Here is a 24,555-nt window from a genome sequence, read left to right as displayed (position 1 = left end):
AAAGTGAAACTGCGGATAAGGAGACTACTACATACCTATTATATATCTGTGTATGCATATATAGAAAACCTTTATAGTTTATATATACCATATATAAAATATATATAATATATAGGCTATATGTTTTATATAAGAAATATATAACCTATATAACCTCTATCCTGTTAAACATAACGTGTAGATCTTTTAAATTACTGCTTACTTTTCGTTCACTTGTTTTGGTTTAAGAGTGTTGTTAAAGTCTATTCAATAGCGTATTCCTGTTAGAAAGCATCTGTTGTAGTTTGTGATTTATAAATGTAGTTACTGTGTTATTTGGTGCATAGGAATTTATAACTGCTACATTTTCATTTTTAATTGTGATCTTTGAGGTTATAAAAATATTTCTTTAATGCTTTTGGACCTTAATTCCACTTTGATAATAGGATTGCATCCCCTATCTTCTTAATTTCTATTTTTCCTTAGTATATCTTCAGTTTTCGCCTTTCTGAATCACTCTAAGTGTGTCTCTTGTATACAGCATAGAATTGGGTTTAGTTTTGCAAGAAAGTGTCAGGTATTTTTCTTTTGATTAGTGTCTTAAGCTCATTTGCATTAATTGAGATGCAGAATATGTTTGGTCTCAACTTTATCATATTATTTTATGTTATATATACTCTGGTATTATGTTATATTTACCATGTTTCTTTCCTTGGTAGGGAGCAAGTATTTAGGAAAGTTAGTTTTATACCTCTATAGTTTTATATTCTATAATATCCTAATTTCCTTTGTTTTTACTTAGATTTCTACTGTTTGGTTTGTCAGTTTAAAATAATATCCTTTATTATGTATTATCTACTTGACAATTTATGTATTCTGCTTTCTCCCTTTTCTCTTCTGCTCTCATTATTTCAGTTGTACTATTTCTACTTTGTCAGAATGTTTACCATTTACATATATGTTTTTTAGTTCTAGATAGGTTTAAATCTTTTTGTTGCTTGCCATCAGTCATCTTGCCAAAGTTTTCCTTTTCCCCTTTGTTCTATGAAACGTGTTCTTCAGTATAGCAGTTCTCAAACAATAATGAGCATACTCATCACCTGGACCTCTTGGGCAGGGCCTAGATTCCCACTCCTAAAAAAATCCCAAATGGTATAGATGCTGTGGGCCATGAACCCCACTTTGAGTGGCAAAAGATTTCTCAAGAAGAGTTCTCAAGTTCTTGAACATAAGTTCCATATTAGGTTCTATAACATGTATACTTGAAGGACAGCTTGGCTGGATTTTAAAATACTTTGGTTCAAAAGGTTCAAAGTTCTTGAAATTTCTTGAAAATGCCCCTCCACTGTTGTCTTGCATTGTTGCTGTCAAACTCTGATGTGAATCTGCTTTCCTTCCTTTAGCAAGTGACTTGGTCATTTTGTTTGGAGGACCAAGTGTTTAATATTAGTGTAATTATTTTATAGGCATATGTCTTAGAGTTGATTGGTTCAGATCACAGATACACATGGGCCCTTTCAAATGTGGTTTCAGGCTTTCTTTTGTTTCTGGAACATTTTCTTAAATTACAGGGTTTTTTTGTTTGTTTATGTGGGTTTTTTTTGAGACAGGATCTCACTCTGTTGCCCAGGCTGGAGTACAGTGATGCAGTCCAGCTCACTGCAACCTCCACCTTCAGGGCTGAAGCAGTCCTCCCATCTCAGCCTCCTGAGTAGCTGGGACTAACAGGCACACACCACCATGCTCAGCTGATTTTTGTATTTTTTGTAGAGATGGGGTTTTGCCATGTTGCCCAGGCTGGTAAGTTACAGTTTTTAATATTGTGTTCTGCTGTTTTTTTCTTCTGAGTCTCCAGCTATATGTTGGATCTTCTTTGCCTGTCTTCCTTGTCATTTTTTTCATTTTGACACATATTTTTCTTTTATTTTTGTCCTCTTAGTTTTTCAAGCTTTTCTTCAGTGTCCCTTATTATATTTTCATTTGGGTAGTTTCCCCCTTGCCATTTTGTAATTTATCACTATTTCTAAGATGATTTTGTTCTCTTCTTCCTTTTCTTTACTGAATTTAGCCACTTTCATTTCATATCTTCCATTTTGTTCATTTGTTAGATATTTTTGATCTGAGTTTTTGTACTTCTTATCTGAAGTTTTTTTTCATGTTCTTAAATGCTTATTTAAGGTTATTTAATTCAGGTTTGATTATTGAGTTATAACTTTCATCTGGTTATGTTTTGTTTGGTTTTTGTTTGCTTTCATGTTGTTGAGGAACAAAATCAAAAATGGAAATACTTTGATTCTCAATGTCTGTTTTATTTTCATAGTAACCTTGTACAGATGTTATCTGCTTTTTTTTTTCGTTTTTTTCATTTTGAAATTTTCCTAGACTAGCAATAGTAGCTCTTGTTGGAAAGAATAAGGAGTTTTTGGGTAGCTTACTGAGTTTTTTTAGTTTGAGAGCACTCTTTTCTGCTGGTATAGTAAAATGTTGTTTCTTTTAACGAGTATCTTCTTGGTAGTGAGAGGTGTGAGTATTGTTCTTGTGTCTTTAGGACTGTTAATTTCTACCTTTTGCTTTCTTCTTTCCGATAATCTTCAGCCTCCAGGAGATACCTGAGCCTTCCGTAAATCTTTCCTCCCCATCCTTCCCTCAAAATGGTGCCTTCCTAAAACTACCACATCTGATTCTGTGCATTTTCAAGCACTATCCTTTTGATTCTCTAGAAACTCTCTGATCTAGCAGTTCACAGACCTTTTCTTAGTGAAAATTTCTTTTTCTGGGGGTGATTTTATCTGTGTTCCAATATCGCTAGATCTCTATTTCCCTCTCTTTCATAGTGTCTGACTTGACTTGCCACTTAGGTGTGGGCTTTGGAGCTAGTCTTGCTGGATTTGGATGTTTATTTCCCTATTTTCATGTAACACGAAGTTCATGCCATTGCTTATCTCCTAGTTAATGTTGTAGGTATGAGGAATGGTTAGTTTGTCTTCTCTTCCTATTGATCTGTTTGTTTTTGGTTTTGAGTATATATGGAGAGATTTGGATTTAGACGGCTCCATTGTCCTATGAGAACCCAGAACTCTGTAATAATGTTATTATATCTAGAAAAAATTGAATTCATTTTGGTGTGTTCAGGCAATTTAAATATATTTATATATGAACTAAAGAGTACTTCATCTTCTGTTTAGTGTGCAGCATATTTTATTTTATATTATTTGAATTATCATACTTATTTTGATTTATACCTAGTTCATTACAAAATCTATTCTTGTTAACATAATGGTAAACCTCTAATATGTCATCTGTAAGGAGCATGCTGGATATGTTGTAATAGTTTAATTGGATAAGGGGCATTTTGAAATAGAATTAGTATAAATATACAAACAGCCATTGGACACAATGTGAAAATCTTTCCCAGAAATCAGTTTACACAGATGAGTCCATAAATCTATGATTTAAATCTTGTGTAACTTTGCCCCAAGCCACTAAATAGAAGCATGCTGTGTGTGTGTGTGTGTGTGTGTGTGTTTTACATCCATTGTATGTACCATATATATATATGTACCATTGTATGTACCATATGTGTGTGTGTATATATATGTATACACACACATATGTATGTGTGTATTTTATAAATATATACTGTTTTTCATTATTGTTGAGGTCAACCAGTAGACTAGAGATTATTTTAGACCCTAAGAGAACTTAAGGGACCTCTGCTGTTACTGATTAAAGTAGGGCTAAAATAAGAATATAGATGCTATATTCTATATTATTTATAGGCTATCTTAAGTAAATATTCAAAATATTTTAAGGAATTGCTTGTTAAGGTGTAGCATAGATACAGATACTGGTTATGAATGTTAGGCTGAATGAAGTGTCAAGAAGTGAACATATTCATAAGACATAGGACGTTTTACCAGAAGCCCCTTCATGCTCTTCCTAGTCACCACCAACCCAAAATAACCACTTTCCTGACATCAATTGCCATTTAGTTTTGCCTCTTTAAATTCTGTATATGTTATACTATACATTCTCTTGATATATTTTCAATCGTCTCAGGATGTTGAAATTGTTTCCCAACTCTGGTGCTCTTTTAGCAGTTGTTTCCCTGGTCAGTTAATCCTCTGTGTTGCCGTGTGGGCATGCATGCTGACGCTTCTCCGTGGCTGGCAGAGAGCCACAAGACTCCACAGAGGCCCTGTTTCTAGTGTTACAAAAATAATCATACATGTTGCATATCTAAATCCAGTGAGGAACTTGTCAAAATGATGGTTGATTAGAGAGATTAATAAAATATAAAGATATTTAAAGATTTGGTGGCTGCACAGGACAATTAACATGTTGCTAATTCTGAAAGTGAATCTAAAATGGGAAAGGTAATTTTACAGTCCATATGTTAGTCATGTCCCTGACTAAAGAAGTAAGTTGGCAGCCTTTTTAAGGTTTCATCATTTTCATCATTCAAGTGCTTTTATTTCTCTAAGTGTACTGCATTTAATGACTTTTTTACTTAATACTTTCTAAGTATATTATGTGAATATGCTAGAATATATTAAATGTTGTCATTTGAAGATAGAATAATGACTCTGTTGCAAAACAACTAAATAAATCCAAAGTGGAGCGATGTTGTTGGTACACTACAGTGGCAGCAGACCCTTGGATTTAGAAGGAATGATTTCCAGAAAATCTGAGGTTTGAAGTGACCAACTGTCATTAGATTTCTCATAAATTGAGGCATTTTGATATTGAAAACAGAAGGAGGAAAACTCACAATGGAGAGGAACAAATTTGAAAACTGGGCCACCGCTCTTTGAAAATGCATCAGCTCCCTTCACCACCACTTGCAAGCTTATTTTAGGAACTTAGAAAGAGGAAAGAAGAGAGACAAAACATCTTTCCCTGCCTAATAACTCTATCCCATTTACATTACTTCTTCCCACTAATTATGGTGAAAGTACTTTGTGGTGATGAGAAGGGAAGTTCACTGGCCTCTGACCATGGGGTTAACTGTGCCTCGTGGGGGTGCTCACTTAGCAGATACTTGGGTGCTCACACCTTGTGCTAAGGCTGAGCAGAAGCAGGAATGGTTGTTGGCACTGGAGCTTTATCTAGCATGAACACAAAGCACCAGATAGTCATGCAGATAGATGTAAAAGGATTGAGTTTAGAGTAGGGGAACATGACCTTGTCCGGAGTCTGAAAGGTGTTTTTAAGGAGAAGTATCCAGTAAAATGGAGCCTGAAGTGAGAGATGGGGATGAGGGACTGTGGAGGGAATGCTTTGGGCAGAGAGGATAGCCTGCCCAGGGACCATGGAGTCCCAGAGCTATGAAGATGCAGGAAAGAATGTGAGGTGAGGCTAGAGAGGACACAGAGGCCAGATGACCTGGCTGCACAGGCCACATTGAGGATACCTTTTTCTCACTTAAGAGCCCTGGGCAGTCATTGGTCGGTGGGGGGTAAGAGTATGGCTGTGGTGATGACCTCAACACATTTGCAGTTTGTAAAACCAAAACAACCCTTGTCTTGCTCAACTTGGAGGATGGTTCTCACTCATACCCAGCATGGAGAATGTTTAAGAGGGGTTGGAAGAGTCAGTGAGTTAGGTGGTAACTGCAGTGGTTCTAGGGAAGGATCCTGGTAGATTGGAACAGGACAGGCAGTGACTCTTCTGGAGAGGCATGTACTGGAAGCAGTATTCAGAGTTCTTGGTGCTGTGTTGGATACACTGTGTGTTAGGGGAGAGGAAATATCATGAGTGACTGTAGGTTTCTGGCTTGGGTACTGGAGGAGGGCCAGTTATTGAGATAAAGGATGCTGGAAGAGATCTGTGTTTTGGCAGAAGAGCCCAGATGTGTTCATTGTCCCGCTGAGTCTAAGGTACCTGTGAAACAGGCAAGAGGAGCCCAGTGGGCAGTTGGGTGGACTAGAAACCCAGTTCAGTGAATCATCTGCATCAGTAAATCCATGTTCCCTTTCCTTCCCCCTTTCTCACCTGCCCCAACTGTGCAACACATAATCATTGCACAGGGTACTTGGGGAGGGAAGGAAGCATCTTGAGGAAACCTTCCTGGTCTCTAGGGCCAGGCCAGATTACTGCTGTGGGGTGGACTGTAAATGCAGGAACTGTTGCAGGCATGCTGCAATTACCACTTATAGACAGCTCTCAGGATCTACATGGGAAAGGTAGGGTAGGGGGAGTTAAAAGGAATTGAGTTGGAAACTTGACAAAACTGTTGCCTAAAATTTTCTTTGAATATTTCCCCCAACCAAGCACAATGCTTGTTTGAAGCAAATGACTCAGTTATTCTAGAAAGTCATTCCTTCTATGAGGGATTCGTTTCCTGGTTTTCTTCCTACCTCTTTGGCTATTCCTCCTTAAGCCTGTTCCTGAGCTTCTTCCTGGGCTATTCTTTCTTAAGGTTCCTTCCCAATCCTCTTCTTCTTCATTCAATCATTGGTTAAACTCATCTGCTCATCTCCGTGGCTTCCACTGTAGCCCCTGTGCTCATCTACTCCAGGTGTAGCCCCTAGGTGAGCTTATCTACCCCATGGCTTCCACTGTGGCCCCTGGGTGAGCTTGTTTACCCCATGACTTCCACCTCCACTGTAGCCCCTGGATGAGCTCATCTACTCCATGGCTTACACTCTAGTCTCTGGATGAGCTCATCTACTCCACAGCTTCCACTGTAGTCCCTGGATGAGCTCATCTACCCCATGACTTCCTCTGTAGCCCCTGGGTGAGCTTGTCTACTCCATGGCTTGCGTTACCTTTACGCCTAACAGTGCCCATTGGACATCTACATGTGTATTGTGTATGTATTTACCTTCGTTGCTTTCACTTGAATGTCTCCCAGTGATCTCAAATTGAGCAGTCCAAAGCTGAGTTCATCTACCACCATCCATCTAGTCATAACCAGAACTTGGGGTTAGTCATCCTCACTCCTCACACTCAAACAGCTACTGTCCAGGTGGTTGTTTCATCTAACCCATTTCTTCTCCACTCAGTGCCTTGTGTGTAGCCTTAGGGTAAGCCCTCATTATTCCTTTTCTGAGTTGCTACAGCATAGCATGTTCTTAACTGGCATCCAGGCTCCCCAGTCTTGGTGCTCTCTAATCCATTCTGCTGCTAAAATGATTATTCTGAAACAGAAATCTGATCTTACTCCTTCCTTAAAAGCCTTTACTGCCTCTCTACCATTTTCAGGATTAAAGCCCAGATTTTAGTGTAGTTTTCGAGGCCCTTCATGAAATCATGCAGCTCTTTCCGCTGCTCTCCTCTCTCCACTTTAATAATACTCAGCTCATGTGACTCCTCCAATGGAATGAGCTCTTGCTTACTTGGTATTGTAGGCTGTGCTGTTTCCTCTGCTGAGAACCCCCTTTTCAGGCATACTTAGCTTAAGTTGACAGGTTTGAATATTGGTTTGCCTGAAAGACTGGTGTAATATACATGAGTCATCCTGTTTTATCACTGAACACATAAACCTCTTTCCTGTGTCCAGAGAATCTCTGACCTCATGGCAGATGCCCCCTCCCACTATAGAAGCTGATAATGCAGGTACTCCCTTTCCAGCCTCCCTTGCTTCTGGGGTATGGACGTGGGCACATGATCTATATTGAGCCAGTAATAATTTTTTACCCTAAACTTTGAACTGTAAGCTTTTGGACCCCAAGAGGCAGGTACCATGCAGAATCCACTCAGCTGACAGTAGCTGTGGCAGTGCTATGCCAATGGTGTTGTGCCTGTGTGCAGCCTGGCATCATTGCTGAACCAGCTCTAGATATGACTTTGGACATTGCTCCTCACTGTATGACTGCTCAGCCTGGTTCTTTAGACCTTTTAGAGGGTACGTGAACTACCTGATAACCTTTTAACCAACCTCTTCTTTGCCCAGATACACCAGAATTGGTATTTGTGGCTTGCAAGTAAAAACCCTGCTTGATTCAGTTACATTTCCAGCATCAATACTTTCAAAGACAGAGAGCAGAACACAGTTGTCTATATTAAACTGCAGTGAAATGACAGATCCCTAATGCATAAAGTTGTATGAAGCTCTTGGTTTGTAGGTAAATGAATAGTCACAAGACTTAGGAGGATCTTGTGCTATATATGCAATGACATGATGAAAGTCACAGGGTTTTCCTAGAAAAGAACACCAGAATATTGCTATGATCATAAAGAATGGTGAAAGTGTAGATGCAGAAATAGCTGTAGAGCTTTTTTTTAATGTATTTTTTTATCATGGTAAAATATAATAACATAATTTGCAATTTTAATTATATTGAGTGTGTAATTTAGTCACATTAATTATAGTCACAGCATTGTGCAGTCATCACCACTATCAATTTCCAAAACTTTTTCATTACCCCAAACAGAAATTCTGTACGCAGCAGGCAATGACTCTCCATTTCCCCCTTCCCCTAGTCCCTGGCAACTTCTGCTTTACTTTCTGTCTCTGTGATGTTGCCTGTTCTAGACATTTCATGTAAAGAAAATAATACATTTATTTGTCCCTTTGTGTCTGGCTTATTTCACTTAGCATTATGTTTTTAAGTCTTACCCATGTTATAGTATGTATCAGAACCTCATTCCTTTTTATGGCTAAATAATATGTCATTGTATGCATATACTGAATTCATTCTTCTGTTGATGGACTCTTGGGTTATTTCCACCTTTTGGCTATTTTAGTACAAATGTAAATAATACTGCAGTGAATATTGGCATACAAATATCTGAGTCCCTGCTTTCAATTCTTGTGAGTATATACCCAGGAGTAGAATCACTGGGTCATATGATAATTCTGTGTTTAATTTTTTGAGAAACTTCCAAACTGTTTTCCGTAGCAGCTGTGCCATTTTGCTTTCCCATCAGCAACGTACGAGGGTTTCAGTTTCTCCATATTCTCGTCAACACTTCATTTTCCATTTTCTAAATTATAGCTAACCTAGTGGATGTGAAGTAGTACCTCCTTGTGGTTTTGATTTGCATTTCCCCAGTGATTACTGATGTTGAGCATCTTTTCATATGTCTGGAGCATCTCAACTATATCATTTGTCTCAAGAGCATCTTGATCAGTTAAGTAAAGTTCCATTTCTGTGATTATCATTTTTCCTAGAAGTAAGAGATTGGGGTTCTCTACTATTTATCATTTTATGGCCAGACTCAGCTCTCAAACATAAGGCTTCCCTGTAAATACCATTAAAGGCTTGACAGCAGCATTTTAAAATTTATGCCTTGTTTTCAACCTGATAAGTGATGTGTGTGCAAAACCTGCAGTTAACATCATACTTAATGGTAAAAGGCTGAATGTTTTCTTTTTCTCTAAGATTGGGAACAAGAAAAAGGGTACCTCCCCTTACCACTTACCAGTTTTATTTAGCATTGTCCAGGAAGTTCTAGCCAAGGGAAGTAGATAAGAAAATAAAATGCATGTCGATTGGAAAGGAAGAAGTAAAACTATTTCTCTTTGCAGGTGATGTGCTCTTGTAAATAGAAAATCCTAAGGAATCCATTAAAAACAATTCAGACGAATAAATGAGTTCAGGTTACAAGAGACAAGAACAATGTACAAAAATGAATTGTATTTCTATACATTAGCAATAAGCAGACTAAATATGAAATTAAGAACACAATTCCATTTATTGTAGCATCAAAAAGAAAAAAATGGAAGACTAAATATTAACATGGTAGTACTTCTCCAATTGATCTATAGATCCAACACAATCCCTATTTTAAATCCTAGCTGACTTATTTTCAAAAATTACAAGTTGATCCTATAATTCATATGGAAATGCAAGGAACCCAGAATAGCTAAAACAATCTTGAAATAAAGAAAATAGTACACGCACTCACATTTCCAAATTTCAAAACTACAGTAATCATAGTAGCATAAGAATGCCCATGTAGTAAAATAATAAATAAATAAAAAGAATGTACATGTAGATCAGTGTACTCAAATTGAGAGGCCAGAAATCAACCTTCACATTTTATGGTCAATTGATTTTCAACAAGAGTTCCACGACAATTCATTGGGGGAAGAATAGTCTTTTCAACAAATGGTGCAAACAGCTGGATATCCACATGTAAAAGGATGAAGTTTGGACTCCATGCTGTGGTCTGTTTCTATCCCCCTAAAATTCATATGTTGAAACCTAATCACCAGTGTTGTGTTAATTATCAGACACCAAATTTGCCAGCACCTTAATCTTGGACTTCCCAGCCTCTGGTACTGTGAGAAATAAATTTCTGTTGTTTATAAGCTATCAAGTATATGGCATTTTGTTTATAGCAGCCTGAATAGACTAACATACACTATATACAAAAATCAACTAAAACTGGATTAATGACCTAAAAGTAAGAGCTGGGGAGGAGGATATGGAAGATGGCAAGAAGGAAAGTTGTATGGACCAGGCCAGGAAGGGGCACATATAACTCCAACTCACATTTCACTGGTTGTGGAAGTCAGCCATGTGGGTATCAGGAGACCATATGGTCACTGGGAAGCTGGGAAATGTGGTCCAGCTCTGTGCCCAGAATAAAGAGGAGATGATTTAGGTGAATAGATAGCCATCTCTGCTACAAGGAGGTTGCCATTGGTTATTCCTGTGGACCTCTACATTCTGAAATTCTGTCCTGTATTAGCTCTCCCTCATTAAGCCCTACAGTTACAAGAACTGAAAAGAAACAAGACAAATAACACTTCTTTTCCTTGGACATAAGAAAAATGTAAAGTTCAGCCAACAAAGTTAACTTCACAGCAATCTTGCTTGCAAAAAATATGCCCCGTGATCTTGTAACCTACCTGTGTATCAGCATGATCCTGGCCCGAGACCATGATGATCTCTCCTGATCTCTGGTCTGCCCTCATATGAGTGAAGGGATAAGCATGGTTCTCATACTTGATGTAGAGGCTAGTTGGATGAAGCTTTTGAAAATGAGTGAACACTACCTTATAGGAGGACAAACAAGCAAACAAGTAATGGCTCCAAATGAAACCAAATGTATGAATTAGATTCCATCAAAGATCCTCTGGAATGGACATCAGAAAGTTGGACGGTGCCCCATTGCAACCAGAGGATTCTCCCCTCAGTGGCAGGATCACAAGAATAAATTTGCTTGTCCATCTTAGTTAGAGTATCTTGAGGGCATCTGTTTTGTGAATTGATATATATTCTCAATTGAAAAAGAAGTAGTGTGCTCCAGCGGTGAGTTTGTAATCTAATTGTATGTAATGTGCTCTGTGGATATGATTACAGAGACTGATGGAAGAGCTAAAGGGAAACAGAATACAGGGGATGTTATAAATAAGGCACAATGCTGTTAATTTTTAAGAAACTGCTTTCTGCAATGTCTTGAGGGATCTTGCCTACTGGGGGAACCAGCCCCTGATATTTCAACGTAGGTTCTTTTCTATTTTCCCTAAGTGTTGGCTGGTCTGAGAAATAAAGGAAAAGAGTACAAAAGAGAGAAATTTTAAAGCTGGGTGTCCGGGGGAGACATCACATGTCAGCAGGTTCCATGATGCCCCCTGAGCCGCAAAACCAGCAAGTTTTTATTATGGATTTCAAAAGGGGAGGGGTGTACGAATAGGGTGTGGGTCAGAGAGATCACATGCTTCAAGGGCAATAAAATATCACAAGGCAAATGGGGGCAGAGCGAGATCACAGGACCAGGGCGAAATTAGAATTGCTGATGAAGTTTCATGTCCCACTGGACACGCATTATCATTGATAGCATCTTATCAGGAGACAGGGTTTGAGAGCAGACAACCGGTCTGACTAAAATTTACTAGGCAGGAATTTCCTAATCCTAATAGGCCTGGGGGCACTACAGGAGACCGGGGCTTATTTCATCCCTTATCGACATATAAGACAGACATTCCTAGAGCGGCCATTTTAGAGACCTCCCCCTAGGAAAGCATTCTCTTTCTCAGGGCTGTTCCTTGCTGAGAGAAAGAATTCAGTGATATTTCTCCTATTTGCTTTTGTAAGAAGAGAAATATGACTGTTCTGTCCAGCCCCTCAGGCAGTCAGGCCCCATGGTTATCTCCCTTGTTCCCTGAAAATCGCAGCCATCCTGTTCCTTTTGGATGCCCAGATTTCATATTGTTCAAACACACATGCTCTACAAACAATTTGTGCAGATAACGCAATCATCACAGGATCCTGAGGCGACATACATCCTCAATTTACGAAGATGATGGGATTAAGAGATTAAAGACAGGCATAGGAAATTATAAGAGTGTTGATTGGGGGAGTGATAAATGTCCATGAAATCTCCACAATTTATGTTCAGAGATTGTAGTAAAGACAGGTGTAAGAAATTATAAAAGTATTAATTTGGGTAACTAATAAATGTCCATGAAATCTTCACAATTTATGTTCTTCTGTCACAGCTTCAGCAGGTCCCTCCGTTCAGGGTTCCTGACTTCCCACAACACTTGCCCAGATAGGATAGGACTGAGCTTCTGTATTATTCCCCTCACTCTGCAGCATACGTGTGTTTAAAATTCCTGCCTTTGAGTTATGTGCTTAAGCTAAATGTTGCATTTTTTCACAAAACAATCACAGAAAGACTGTAAACTGGTGCTGGACAAAGTGTGATCTGCAGACTGGTGTTAGTCCACAAAGTATTTTTTACCAGCCCACAATCAGATAAGCACAGAAATGGAAGGTGTTTACAAACTCCTAAGGCAGTTTGATGCTGCTGCAGTATTTAAGCACACAATCAGTGGGCTTATCCTGTTAACCAAGGTAAACCAATTAGGGTAGTGCTCAATTTGTATGATGATCTGCATGAGATGCAAGCTCATTTTGGTCACACGTAGTATGCATTAGTTTGCACAATAACACAGACTGGGTAGCTTAAAGAACAAAAATCCAAGCAAGGTGCCAACAGGGTAGGTTCCATTCTGAGACCTTTTTTCCTAGCTTTTAGATGGCCACCATCTTGCTATATCCTAACATGACCAATTCTTTGTGTGTACTCAAAGAGAATGAGTATGTGAGCTCACTGGTATCTCTTCATGTAAGGATGATAGTCCTATCATATCATGGCCCCACCCTTATGACCCCTTTCAACTTTAATTACCTTCTTGTAGGCCCTGTCTCCAAATACAGCCACATTGGGGGTTACAGCTTTAACATGAATTTGTTGAGGGCAAGGGGGCATTCAGTCCATAGGACAGTAGGACCATAATGGACTGGGAATTTAAAAATTGGTCCTTCACCTCAGATAGTTCAAGCAGCACTGTAGGTATAATTAAGCTAAACACAACTGGATATTACTAATATAAAAACTAGAAAAAATTTGCTTTAGGTTACAAATGTTTGAATATTTATCAAATTCATATAATCTTGACATTCAATAAAATTGTTTTGTGTAAAACATTGAATGTTTACAAGAGATTAGATTATAAAAACTTGATTGGATACTGAAAAAAATGTACTGATTAGTTAATTCCTACAGAGGCCTGGGCTTAAGCTTGATGTAATTACAGCATGGTAGCTGTTCTTATAGCATAGCTCTCCTGCCTGTGCAGCCGACTCATAAATCTATGCATCTCCCTGCTGGCCCTGGCCTTCTGGCTTCCTGAAGACATGTCCCCATGGCCATTCCATAAATACCACTATCTCAGCCATTCAGAAGAAGGCATGTCACCTCCCTGGAGCCCTACCCCTGTGCTTCCTTCCTACTCTGTTTTATAATCTCAACAAATAGGAACATTATTTTCATGTTACTCACGTTGAAACTGTGGAACATTTTCAGCTGTGCTCTTTTCCTTTGGAGATCTCTTTTCTCTCCCACCTGCTTATTCTGCCTCCAGAATGCCTACTCCTTCAATCCCCACCATTCTAAGGTGCTATCAGCCTTGCACCAGGCCACTGCTGTCATGTCTTATTTGGAGTATTTCAGTAAGCACCTCACTACTATCCTTGACTTCAGTTTCTTTCTCTCCAGTCTAATATGTGTGAAGCACGGTTCTGACTATATCCCTTGCAAGCTGAAAAAGCCTTTGCTGGTTTCCTTTTCTTACAAAATAAAGTCCAGCCTCCTTAACAAGGGATTCAAGGTCCTCTGTAATCTCCTCTTATCTGTCTTTCGTCCCTAGTCTCCCTTCGCCCTACGCTTTCAACATGCATACTGTATTATAGGCATAGCTGTGTTTTACATTTTCCTGCTTTTGTGTCTTTGCCTGGAGTTTTCTTTGGCCTGGAATTTTCTCCCATCCAATTTCTGCTCTTCAGAGGATCCCTTGTTCTTCAAAGTCTAGTTCAGGCATCACCTTTCCCTCAGTTTTCCCTGGTCTCTCTGTTTAGCGTTAATGATTAATTAATATGCTCCCATAACATGTTGAAGTTTCATCCATTCCTTTACTGTGTATTCACTCTCCCCTAGTTGATCAGTTCTTTGAGAGCAGGATCCATGCTGTATTCAGAGTTGGCATTACCCCAGTCCCAGGTCACAGTACTGAGCACATGGTTGGTGCTCAATTGGGGTGTTGCTAATGTAAGGTCGTGATCTATATGTGAAATATCTCAGATCACGAAGAGAATGATAATGCCTCTCTACGTCGTTTTGAGAACCAGGAGAGCAGAAGAGGCAGTTTTGCATGTGCCCTTGATTCTGCTCAGAAGGCAGGAGTAGATTCCTTAAGTTTACTCTTCATTGTACTTCCTGAGGGAAGATAGTCAGGGTATATTCAGTAGTCAGAAGGAAACCTTGCCCCAGGCTGGGGTATTTACAGCTTATGGTTTTAGAAAAGGGGCAAGTTCTTAGCAATACGAAGCAAAGAAGTTATCTCGATTGTGTCCATTGATTCTAGGGCTAGATTATAGCTTCAGCTACAACTCATCAGCTGTGCTTTTATTTTCTCTATCACCAGTGATGTCACCTTTCCTATTCTTGATATTGGTAATTTGTATCTTTTCTTCTTACTCATCAATCTGGCTAGAAGTTTATTGTATTTCTCTAGGTTCTCCAGAAAAATAGAACCAATAGATTATATAAAATGAGATTTATTATAGGGAATTGGTTCATGCAGTTATGGAGGCCAAGCCCCAACTCAAGATCCACACTTGACAAGCTGGATACCCAGGAGAGACAATGGTGTCATTCCAGTCCTAGTCTGGAGACCCAAGAACCAGGAGAGCCCATGATGTGAGTGCTGGGCTACCCAAAGGCAGGAGAAGACAGGTAGAGAGAATTCTTTCTTACCCAGCCTTTTATTCTATTCAGGCCTTCAGTGGATTGGATGAGGCTCACCCACATTGAGGGAGGTTTTTGCTTTATTCAGTCTATGGATTCAAATACTAATTTCATCCAGCAACACCCTCATAGACACAGCCAGAAATAATGTTTAATCAATTATCCTGGCACCCATGGCTCAGTCAAGTTGACATGTAAAATTAACCATCACATTTATAGATCTTCTGAAAAATCAGTGAAACTTTGGACTTTATTGATTTTCTGTATTGTTTTACTATTTTCTATTTCTTTGCTTTCTGCTCTGTTCTTTATTGTTTCTTTTATTTGCTTTTGTTTTTCTAGTTCCTGAAGATGGAATTGAGATAAAATTTCCTGCTACATAGTGTTTTAGTGCATCCCACATATTCTGGCAAGTGTTTTCATTTTTACTCAGTGCAAAATACTTTTTCATTCTTCTTTTGATTTCTTCTTTGACCCATGTGTTATTTAGAAGTATGTTAGTTTCCAGATACTGGGATTTTCCAAATATCTTTTTGCTACTGATTTCTAATTTAATTACATTGTAGTCAGAGAAAACATTTTGTCTGATTTGAGTACTTTTAAATTTATTGAGACTTATTTAATGTCCCATAATATGGGCTATCTTGGCAAATGTTCCATGTGCATCTGAAAAGAATGGGTATTCTGGTATTGTTGGGTAGAATGTTCCATAAATGACAATTAGGTCAAGTTGGCTGATAGTTTTATTCAGGCTTTCTGTATCCTTACTGCTTTTTTTGTCTACTTTTTCTATTAATTTTTGAGAACAGTATTGAAATTTTCCGTTATAATTGTGGCTTTGTCTGTTTCTCCCTGCAGTTCTATCACTTTTTGCTTCTTTTTTTTGAAGCTCTGTCATTTGGTATATAATTGTTTCATCATCTTCATGGATTGACCTTTTTATGATATAATCTCTTTATCCCGGATGTAATATTCTTTGCTTTGAAATCTACTTTATCTAATACTAAGTCAGCTTTTTGTTGATTTGTGTTAGCACAATATGACTTTTTACATCCATAGGTTCATTTACTTTGAACCTATTTGTGTCTATATATTTCAAGTGTGTTTTCTTTTGGCAACATATCATTAGGTCTTGTATTTTTATCCAATCTGACAAGCTCAACCTTTTTAATTGGGGCGTTATGGCATTTATATTTAATCTGATTATTGATATGATTAAAGTGTATCATATTGCTATTTATGTGTTTGCTATTTTTTCTATTTTTGCTTGCAATTTTAATTTTGTTTGCAATTATTTATAATGTAATAAATTATATAAATTATAATATGCTATTTCTAATATAGCAAACAAAATAAAAATAGCAAGCAAAAATAGAAAAACAGCAAACATCTATGTTATAAATAATAGCAAACAAAATAATATTTAATATTAATATTAAATATTTAAAAATAGCAAATAATACGTAGGTATTTTTATTATTTATTTGCCTGATCTGTCATTTCTTCCCTTTTCTTCCTTCTTTTAAATCATAGAAGTGTGTGGCTGGGCACGGTGGCTCAATGCCTGTAATCCCAGCACTTTGGGAGGCCAAGGCAGGCGGATCACAAGGTCAGGAGATCAAGACCATCCTGGCTAACATGGTGAAACCCTGTCTCTGCTAAAAATACAAAAAATTAGCTGGGCGTGGTGGCAGGCGCCTGTAGTCCTAGCTACTCAGGAGGCTGAGGCAGGAGAATGGCGTGAACCCTTGGAGGTGGAGCTTGCAGTGAGTGGAGATCATGCCACTGCACTCCAGCCTGGGCGAGAGAGTGAGACTCCGTCTCAAAAGAAAAAAAAATTCATAGAAGTGTGTGTTTGTGTGTGAGTGAAATTCCATATTTTTCCTTTTTTGATGATTGGCAACAACTTTTTGTTTTGTTGTTTTAGTGGTTACTTTAGGGTTTATAGTATACATCTTTATTTTACAAAGTTTACCCTCAAGATATTATACCACTTCACATACAACATAGTATAAGAACCATACAATAGTTTACTTCCATTTTTCTCCTCCTTCGTAATCATTTCCCAGTACTGAGTCAAGACTCTTCCAAACACTCTCTCTGGTGACCCTGAGTTAGATTTTCTGGTCTGGCTGGTGGTGACAGACACTGTTCTCAGTCCTGTGTGAACAGAGCTCTGTTTCTTCCAACCTGGTCTGATGTTGCTTTCCCGGACCTCAGATAGTTTCCTCACATACGTGTGCTGGTAAGACCTCTACTGAAAACTTGAGGGAGATCACCTGCAGACCTCCTGAGCTATCTGTTGCTCTGCAGCTCTGTCTTCTTTTGTTTTCCTGCAAACAGCTGGTGCCATGTTGTCCCTGGATTCTCATCATGACTCAGAAAGTCTGCTGTGCTCATCCTGACGTTTTCTCCCTGCACTGTGGCCTGGAGACTTTGTCTAGGCAGTAAGTAGCAGCTGTAGGCTCACCCTGCTTCTTTTCCATCAGGAACCACAGTTCTTCACTGCCTGATGTCCAGTGTCTTGAAAGTGTTATTTTATAAAGTTTGTCTTGTTTTTTGGTTGTTGTTTCGGGTGGAAGGGTTACTTCATCTTGGTGGAAGTGGTCTGTTAGGATATTTCTAATAAGGATGTAAGAAGAATGAAAATAACATTTTTTTCAATTTCTATAATTAGTGACTTCATCTTTATAGTTGCTAAGGCCAGAAACTTTGGAGTCATCCTTGACTTATCTCTCTGCAACCTCTAGTCCAAGATTCTTGTTCACACCACTGCAAAACGTAATATATCCAGAATCTGACAACTCCTCATGACCTCTACTGCTAGCGTTGTGGCCCACTCACACTTTGGGCAAATTACTGAGTCTCTCTGTGCCTCAGGTCTTAATTTTGCAAAATAATGCCTAATAATAGTACCACGTCATAACATTGTTATGAAGCGTAAGTCATTATTTTAAAATAATGCACAGAATAGTGCACAGTGTGCATTAATTATATGAGTGTTTATTAAGTGACAAAGGCAGAGTTGGGATTCTCTCTCATGTCTGACTGGTCCCTGAGATATTGCTCTCTCATGTTACCTTGCTTTTCTTCTGTGCCTAGAGTTGTTCTCAGTGCTGGAAAATACAAAATGGTGAGAGAGTGGGCACCTTCCCAGAAGACACTTGCTAGTTGGGTGACAGGAGCTAAATATGATAGAATCATGCATTGACATAGTGAGAGATCATGGGCTGCATCTGGTACTTGTCCTGGTAAAAGTCCCCACATCCGGGGCTCCCACCCTTCTCCACACTCCCACCCCAGCTTACAGCCTGGGCTGTCCAAAAGCACAGTGGGGAGCTTGTGATTGCCTGATTGCCTGGGTTTAGATGACAAGACTCTGCTGCTTTAGAATTTGGCCCTTGTACCATGGACCTCATTGTCCTGTGTGTGCATTGCTCAGGAAAACACCTTGGAGCAAGGCAGTGCCCTGAGGGCTGCCTGGAGCCAGTGCTCTTGTTTTAATGTAGGTAAAAATCTACACTCTTACCCCACAGGCATGATTTCATCTCACAATAGAGAGCCCCTGTATGCTTTGTAAGTGGTTTCTGAATTCAAGCAAGCATTTTCTCTCTTGAGAGAAGCTTACAGGTCATGTTCTTGCCAGACTACAGACATGACTCTCTGATCCTCTTAGGTAGCAGGGCCAGTTCAGGCTGTATATCCTAAAACTAAAAGTGGGGTACTAAGGTGGGAGCTACAAGGAATGAAGGGCAATGACTAACAGACATAAGCAGAAAAACAAACGAATGGGCTCTGCTTGACTCTGTTTATCCACAGTCATGATTTACACGTGAAGAAAGATGCTTAAGTTTATTTTATAAAAGATTATTTTCAGTCAGAGATAGGGATGGGATGTTAGACGTTAATTTAATATGGAACAGTTTATGCAGACTCCACTCTAGGACTAAATAGAATTGGAAATGTCAGCCTAGAGCTAGGACATTGCTAAAACGTTTTTCTGAGATTTTGCAGATATTGTGAAGTCAATAAATACATTGATATATGGACTATATTTTGTGAATTTTAAAAAAATCTAATTTGTGTTACTAGAGCAGCAATAAAAAAGCTAAAACAACCATAATGTATAAATAAATTAGGTTGGAAATATAATAATACTTTTTATTTTGTGCATGTTGCAGTCCATTATTTTATTGGCATTATCTCTTTTTGCATTAATTGACTTAAAACGATCGTCTTTAAAAATGAAATCATAAAGAGCATGAAATTTTGAATGTTGCTTATAAAAATTCACTAATTGGACACATTAATCAAACTATACTATCTTGCTTTTTAACAATTTTAATTAAACTGTGAATTGGGATAAACGGGTAATTTTTGACACCTTGAGAACAGTATGATTATACTAAAACTAAATATGATTGTGTCCTACTATTTTAAAATATCGTTTTTTCAACTGTAGCTGGAGATATGAATAGCATACAGAATGTAAACCCTGGCTGACTCAGTAAGAGGACTGTTAGAGAGTGTCTATGTAAATTTGATGGGTTTAATTAAGCATCAGTTGAACCAAATGCATTTTTTGGCTGCCAAGCTCACTCACTTCTTTGTACACAGTGGTATATTCAGTTAGGTCTCAGGGATGTGGGAGAAGGGGCCATAATGTCTCCATGATTTTTTTAAAATTTAAATGTTTATTGAGATAATTGGAGATTCATATGCAGTTGTAAGAAATAATACACAGAGATTTTGTGTACCTGTTACCTAGTTTCCTGGATGGTGATATTTTGTAGAACTGTAGAGCTGTGTCACAACCAGTATATTTACAATGATACAATCCACTGATCTAATTCAGATTTCCCCAGTTTTACCTGTACTTGTGTGTGTGTATTTGTGTTTAGTTCTTTTTTTTTTTTTTTTGAGACAGAGTTTCACTATTATCTCCTAGGCTGGAGTGCAATGGCACAATCTCGGCTCACTGCAACTTCTGCCTCCTGGGTTCAAGCAATTCTCCTCCCTCAGCCTCCCCAGTAGGCAGGATTACAGGCATGCATCACCACGCCTGGCTAACTTTTTGTATTTTTAGTAGAGACGGGGTTTCACCATGTTGGCCAGGCTGGTCTCAAACTCCTGACCTCAGGTGATCCGCCTTGGCCTCCGACAGTGCTAGGATTACAGGCTTGAGCCACTGTGCCTGGCCTTGTGTTTAGTTCTATACAGTTTTGTCACATGTATAGGTTCATGTATCTACCACCACCATCAAAATACAGGACTGCTCCATTACCATGGGACCCCTCACCCACCCCAATTCCTTACCCCTGATGATCACCAAAATCTGTTCTCTGTCTCCAAAATTTTGTCTCTCAAAAATGTTATATAAATGTAATCATACAGTGTATAACCTTTTGGGGTTGACTTTTTCCTTCAGCACAGTTCCCTGGAGATTCATTCAATATATGTGTATACCAGTAGCTTATTCCTTTTTATTGCTGATTATTATCTATGGTATATATATACCACAATTTGTTTAAACATTCACCCACTGAAGGACATCTGGTCTGATTCCTGTTTTTGGCTATTACAAATAAAGTTGCTATGAACATTTTAGTACTGGTTTTTGTATTAACATAAGTTTTTCTTTCTCTGGGATTAATGTTCAAAGGTAACATTGCTGGGTTGAATGGTAATTGCATGTTGAGTTTTATAAGAAACTGCCAAACTGTTTTCCAGAGTGGTTTTACCATTTTATATTCCCACCAGCAATGTGTGAGTGATCTAGTTTCTCCATATCCTTGCCAGAATTTGGTGCTATCACTAATTTTTATTTTAGCCATTCTGATGGGTATGTAGTCATATTGCATTGTAGTTTTAATTTGTATTTTCCTGATGGCTAATGATGCTGAACAACTTTTCAAGTGCTTATTTGCCATTGCTGAATCCTCTTCAGTGAAATGTCTATGTTTTTGCCCATTTTATTTCTTTTTTTTTAAATTTAAGTTCTAGGGTACATGTGCACAACGTGCAGGTTTGTTACATACGTGTACATGTGCCATGTTGGTGTGCTGCACCCGTTAACTCATTATTTACATTAGGTATATCTCCTAATGCTATCCCTCTCCCCTCCCTCCACCCCACAACAGGCCCCGTTGTGTGATGTTCCCCACCCTGTGTCCAAGTGTTCTCATTGTTCAATTCCCATGTATGACTGAGAACATGCGGTGTTTGGTTTTCTGTCCTTGCAATAGTTTGCTCAGAATGATGGTTTCCAGCTTCATCCGTGTCCCTACAAAGGACATGAATTCATCCTTTTCTATGGCTGCATAGTATTCCATGATGTATATGTGCCACATTTTCTTTCTTCTTTTTTTCTTTGTAGATTTCTTTTTTTCTTTTCTTTTTTTTTTTTTTATTATACTTTAAGTTATAGGGTACATGTGCACAACGTGCAGGTTTGTTACATATGTATACATGTGCCATGTTGGTGTGCTACACCCATTAACTCGTCATTTACATTAGGTATATCTCCTAATGCTATCCCTCCCGCCTCCCCCTACCCCACAACAGGCCCCGGTGTGTGATGTTCCCCTTCCTGTGTCCAGGTGTTCTCATTGTTCAATTCCCACGTATGAGTGAGAACATGCGGTGTTTGGTTTTTTGTCCTTGCGATAGTTTGCTCAGAATGATGGTTCCCAGCTTCATCCATGTCCCCACAAAGGACATGAACTCATCATTTTTTATGGCTGCATAGTATTCCATGGTGTATATGTGCCACATTTTCTTAATCCAGTCTATCATTGATGGACATTTGGGTTGGTTCCAAGTCTTCGCTATTGTGAATAGTGCTGCAGTAAACATACATGTGCATGTGTCTTTATGGCAGCATGATTTATAATCCTTTGGGTATATGCCCAGTAATGGGATTGCTGGGTCAAATGGTATTTCTGGTTCTAGATCCTTGAGGAATCACCACACTGTCTTCCACAATGGCTGAAGTTTTTGCCCATTTTCTAATGATTTTTTTAGTTGTTGAGTTTTAAAAAATATTTCTGTATCCTAGGTAGTACTCCTTTGTTGGATATGTGGTTTGCAACTATTTTTTCCCAGTCTGTAGCTTCACATAAGCTTTGAAAAGTTTTTAATTTTGATGAGGTCTCTTCATGACTTTTTAATGTTTGGTCTTTTTTGAAAAATAGGGAGAAGTACCTTCAATAGAATTAGAGCATTTTTCTGTTTTAATTATTTTTATTCTTTTTTTATTCTCTACCTTCTTCCCCTTGACTTTTACTCCCTCTTCAGCAACATAAACTTTTTCTTGATTGTGAAAAATATTGTAAAGTATTAAAATTATACTTTATTTCAGTGTTCTTAATGTTCTTTAATAAGGAACATCACATTTTTCTCTTGCCTTTTACAAACACCTAGAACATTTCCTTTTTGTTTGATGACATTTTTTGCAAGTATTTGTTGGCAATTGTTTATGCTCTTCAACAGTTACATGCTAACTATACAATCTCCCCCTTTTTCTTCAAAACCAGACCCGTGTGCAGATGGCATTTCATTTTTATCACAGTTAATAGTGACAGAACGGCCCCCTAGAACCCACAGAGAAAATCCCTGAGCTTGTATATTTATTTTCTCCAGTTATGAGAAGAAAAGGCTACCCTCATCCATCAGGATTTAGATATGCCTTTCCTGAGTGTCCCTGGTCACTGGGCCTACCAGTGACTCTCCTGCAGTCCAGCCACCATCAGAGGTTTGCTGTGTTTCCTTTTTTTTTTGTCCCTTGTAAAGGGGTCAGTCCTAGCTATGAGGGCATCCAGGCAGTGCTGACTGGTCTGCTTCTAAACTTCCAGGGACCAGCAGCACCAGGGGTTGTGGGAGGGATGCCTTGCACACTTGACCCAGCTGCATGTTGAAGTGTCCAGTTGAAGAAGCAGCCCTGGGTGAGGATTGTGCCCCAGCTTCCCACATGGCCTGGACCTGTGGTAGGTCCCTGAGCCTCGCTGAACACTTCTTATTCCCTCCTGTAAAGAAGGGGAAGGGGAAGAATACAACCCACCCTGTCTCCTACGAAGGACAGTCCAGAAAATTTCTCACATCCCTCTGTTTGTGGTATCTGACTCTAGTGAAAGAAGGTACCCAGTGACTTTCCTTGCTGTATGGATACAGAGAGAAATGTACTTATCAACTCTTGGGTAGATAAAAAGATAATGATACCAAACCTGCTAACAAAAAGCACCTTTTTCTTATGAAACTGACAGGACTTCTAGAATCTTCCAATAAGTAGGAATTAGAACTCATTCAGTTAATTCAATAAAGATATATTAGCACCTACTTGATGCGAGACACTTTTCTTCGCAGTGAGGATACAGCAGTGAACAAAAGGAAGGAAAACCTCTGTACTCGTGGAGTGTATTTTAGGGGGGAAGATAGATGATAATGAGATGAAATGTATAGTATGTTAATCAGTAATAACCACTCAGGAGAAAAATAAGGTGAGGAAGGGAGATAGGAAGTACCACGGTGGGGGTGGTGGTATAGTTTTAAGGAAGTTGGTCTGAGAAAATGTCCTAGGGAGAATGATTTCTGGGTTAAGACCTGGAGTGAGTGATGGGAAAGCCATGCAGATACCTAGTGGAGGAAGAGCAGTGCAGGCAGAAGGCACAGCACCCTAAAGGCCCAGGGGTGGGCCTGGGCTATTAAGGAACAGCAAAGAAACTCGTGGCTGGATCACAGGGAGTGATGGGAGTTTGAGTCCATAAATATGATGCAGAGGATCACACAGGGATTTTTAGGTCATTTGGCTTAACTCTGGGTGGCATGGGAGCTGCCGGAGGGCTCTGAGTAGAGGAATGGATAGTCAGAGTCTGACTTATGTGTTAATGGGGCCTCTGGATACTCTGTTGACTGTAAAATGCACAGGATATGAGCAAAGGCAGAGAGACCAGGTAGGAAGTCATGGCAATGGCTTAGGACAGAGACGGTGTCTTGGACCAGGGCAGGAAATGTGGAGGTAGCCAAAGTGGTTGGGTTGTGCATAGATTTTCAATGCAAAATAAAGGATTTGATAATACGTTGGAGGTGAGGGGTAACAAAAGAGAGGCATCACAGATGACCCTCAGGTTTGGCCTGAGCAACTTCACAAATGGAATTGTCATTTCTGAGACAAGGATGACGTTATGAATGATTTGTGTCAAATAAGTCCTAGATAATACTGTAAGAGCATTATATCTTTATTTTAAAGGTGAGGATTAACACACATAGAGTAAAATGCATTAAAGTGTACTTATTCCAAATTATAGCTTTGCAGGAACACTATATCTTAAACATATTTTATTCATCATCGGAATTTGGGGGAAATATTTT

The 24,555-nt window shown here is 38.8% G+C and overlaps 1 protein-coding gene across 21 annotated transcripts in view; it reads left to right on the top strand.

Annotated features, from left to right (window-relative positions):
• Positions 1 to 24,555, top strand: part of ANO10 (anoctamin 10) — a 325,747-nt gene that overhangs the window by 161,054 nt on the left and 140,138 nt on the right. For 3 of the 21 annotated variants that reach the window (XM_017006718.2, XM_011533885.4, XM_047448429.1), the window contains one exon: positions 17,533 to 17,636. The exons of 14 other annotated variants lie outside the window; for them this stretch is intronic. In XM_017006718.2, the coding sequence (XP_016862207.1) occupies positions 17,533 to 17,636 (104 nt within the window). Of the gene's footprint in view, positions 1 to 15,531; positions 17,028 to 17,532; positions 20,797 to 24,555 lie in introns of those variants that run through there. 4 more of the 21 variants (XM_047448428.1, XM_047448430.1, XM_011533889.4 and 1 more) reach the window with 4 other exon arrangements.

The sequence above is a fragment of the Homo sapiens genome, chromosome 3 (assembly GCF_000001405.40).
Source record: "Homo sapiens chromosome 3, GRCh38.p14 Primary Assembly".
NCBI lineage: Eukaryota > Metazoa > Chordata > Mammalia > Primates > Hominidae > Homo > Homo sapiens.
Note: the sequence above shows the minus strand (reverse complement) of the source record. Positions and strands in the feature narration are given on the sequence as shown.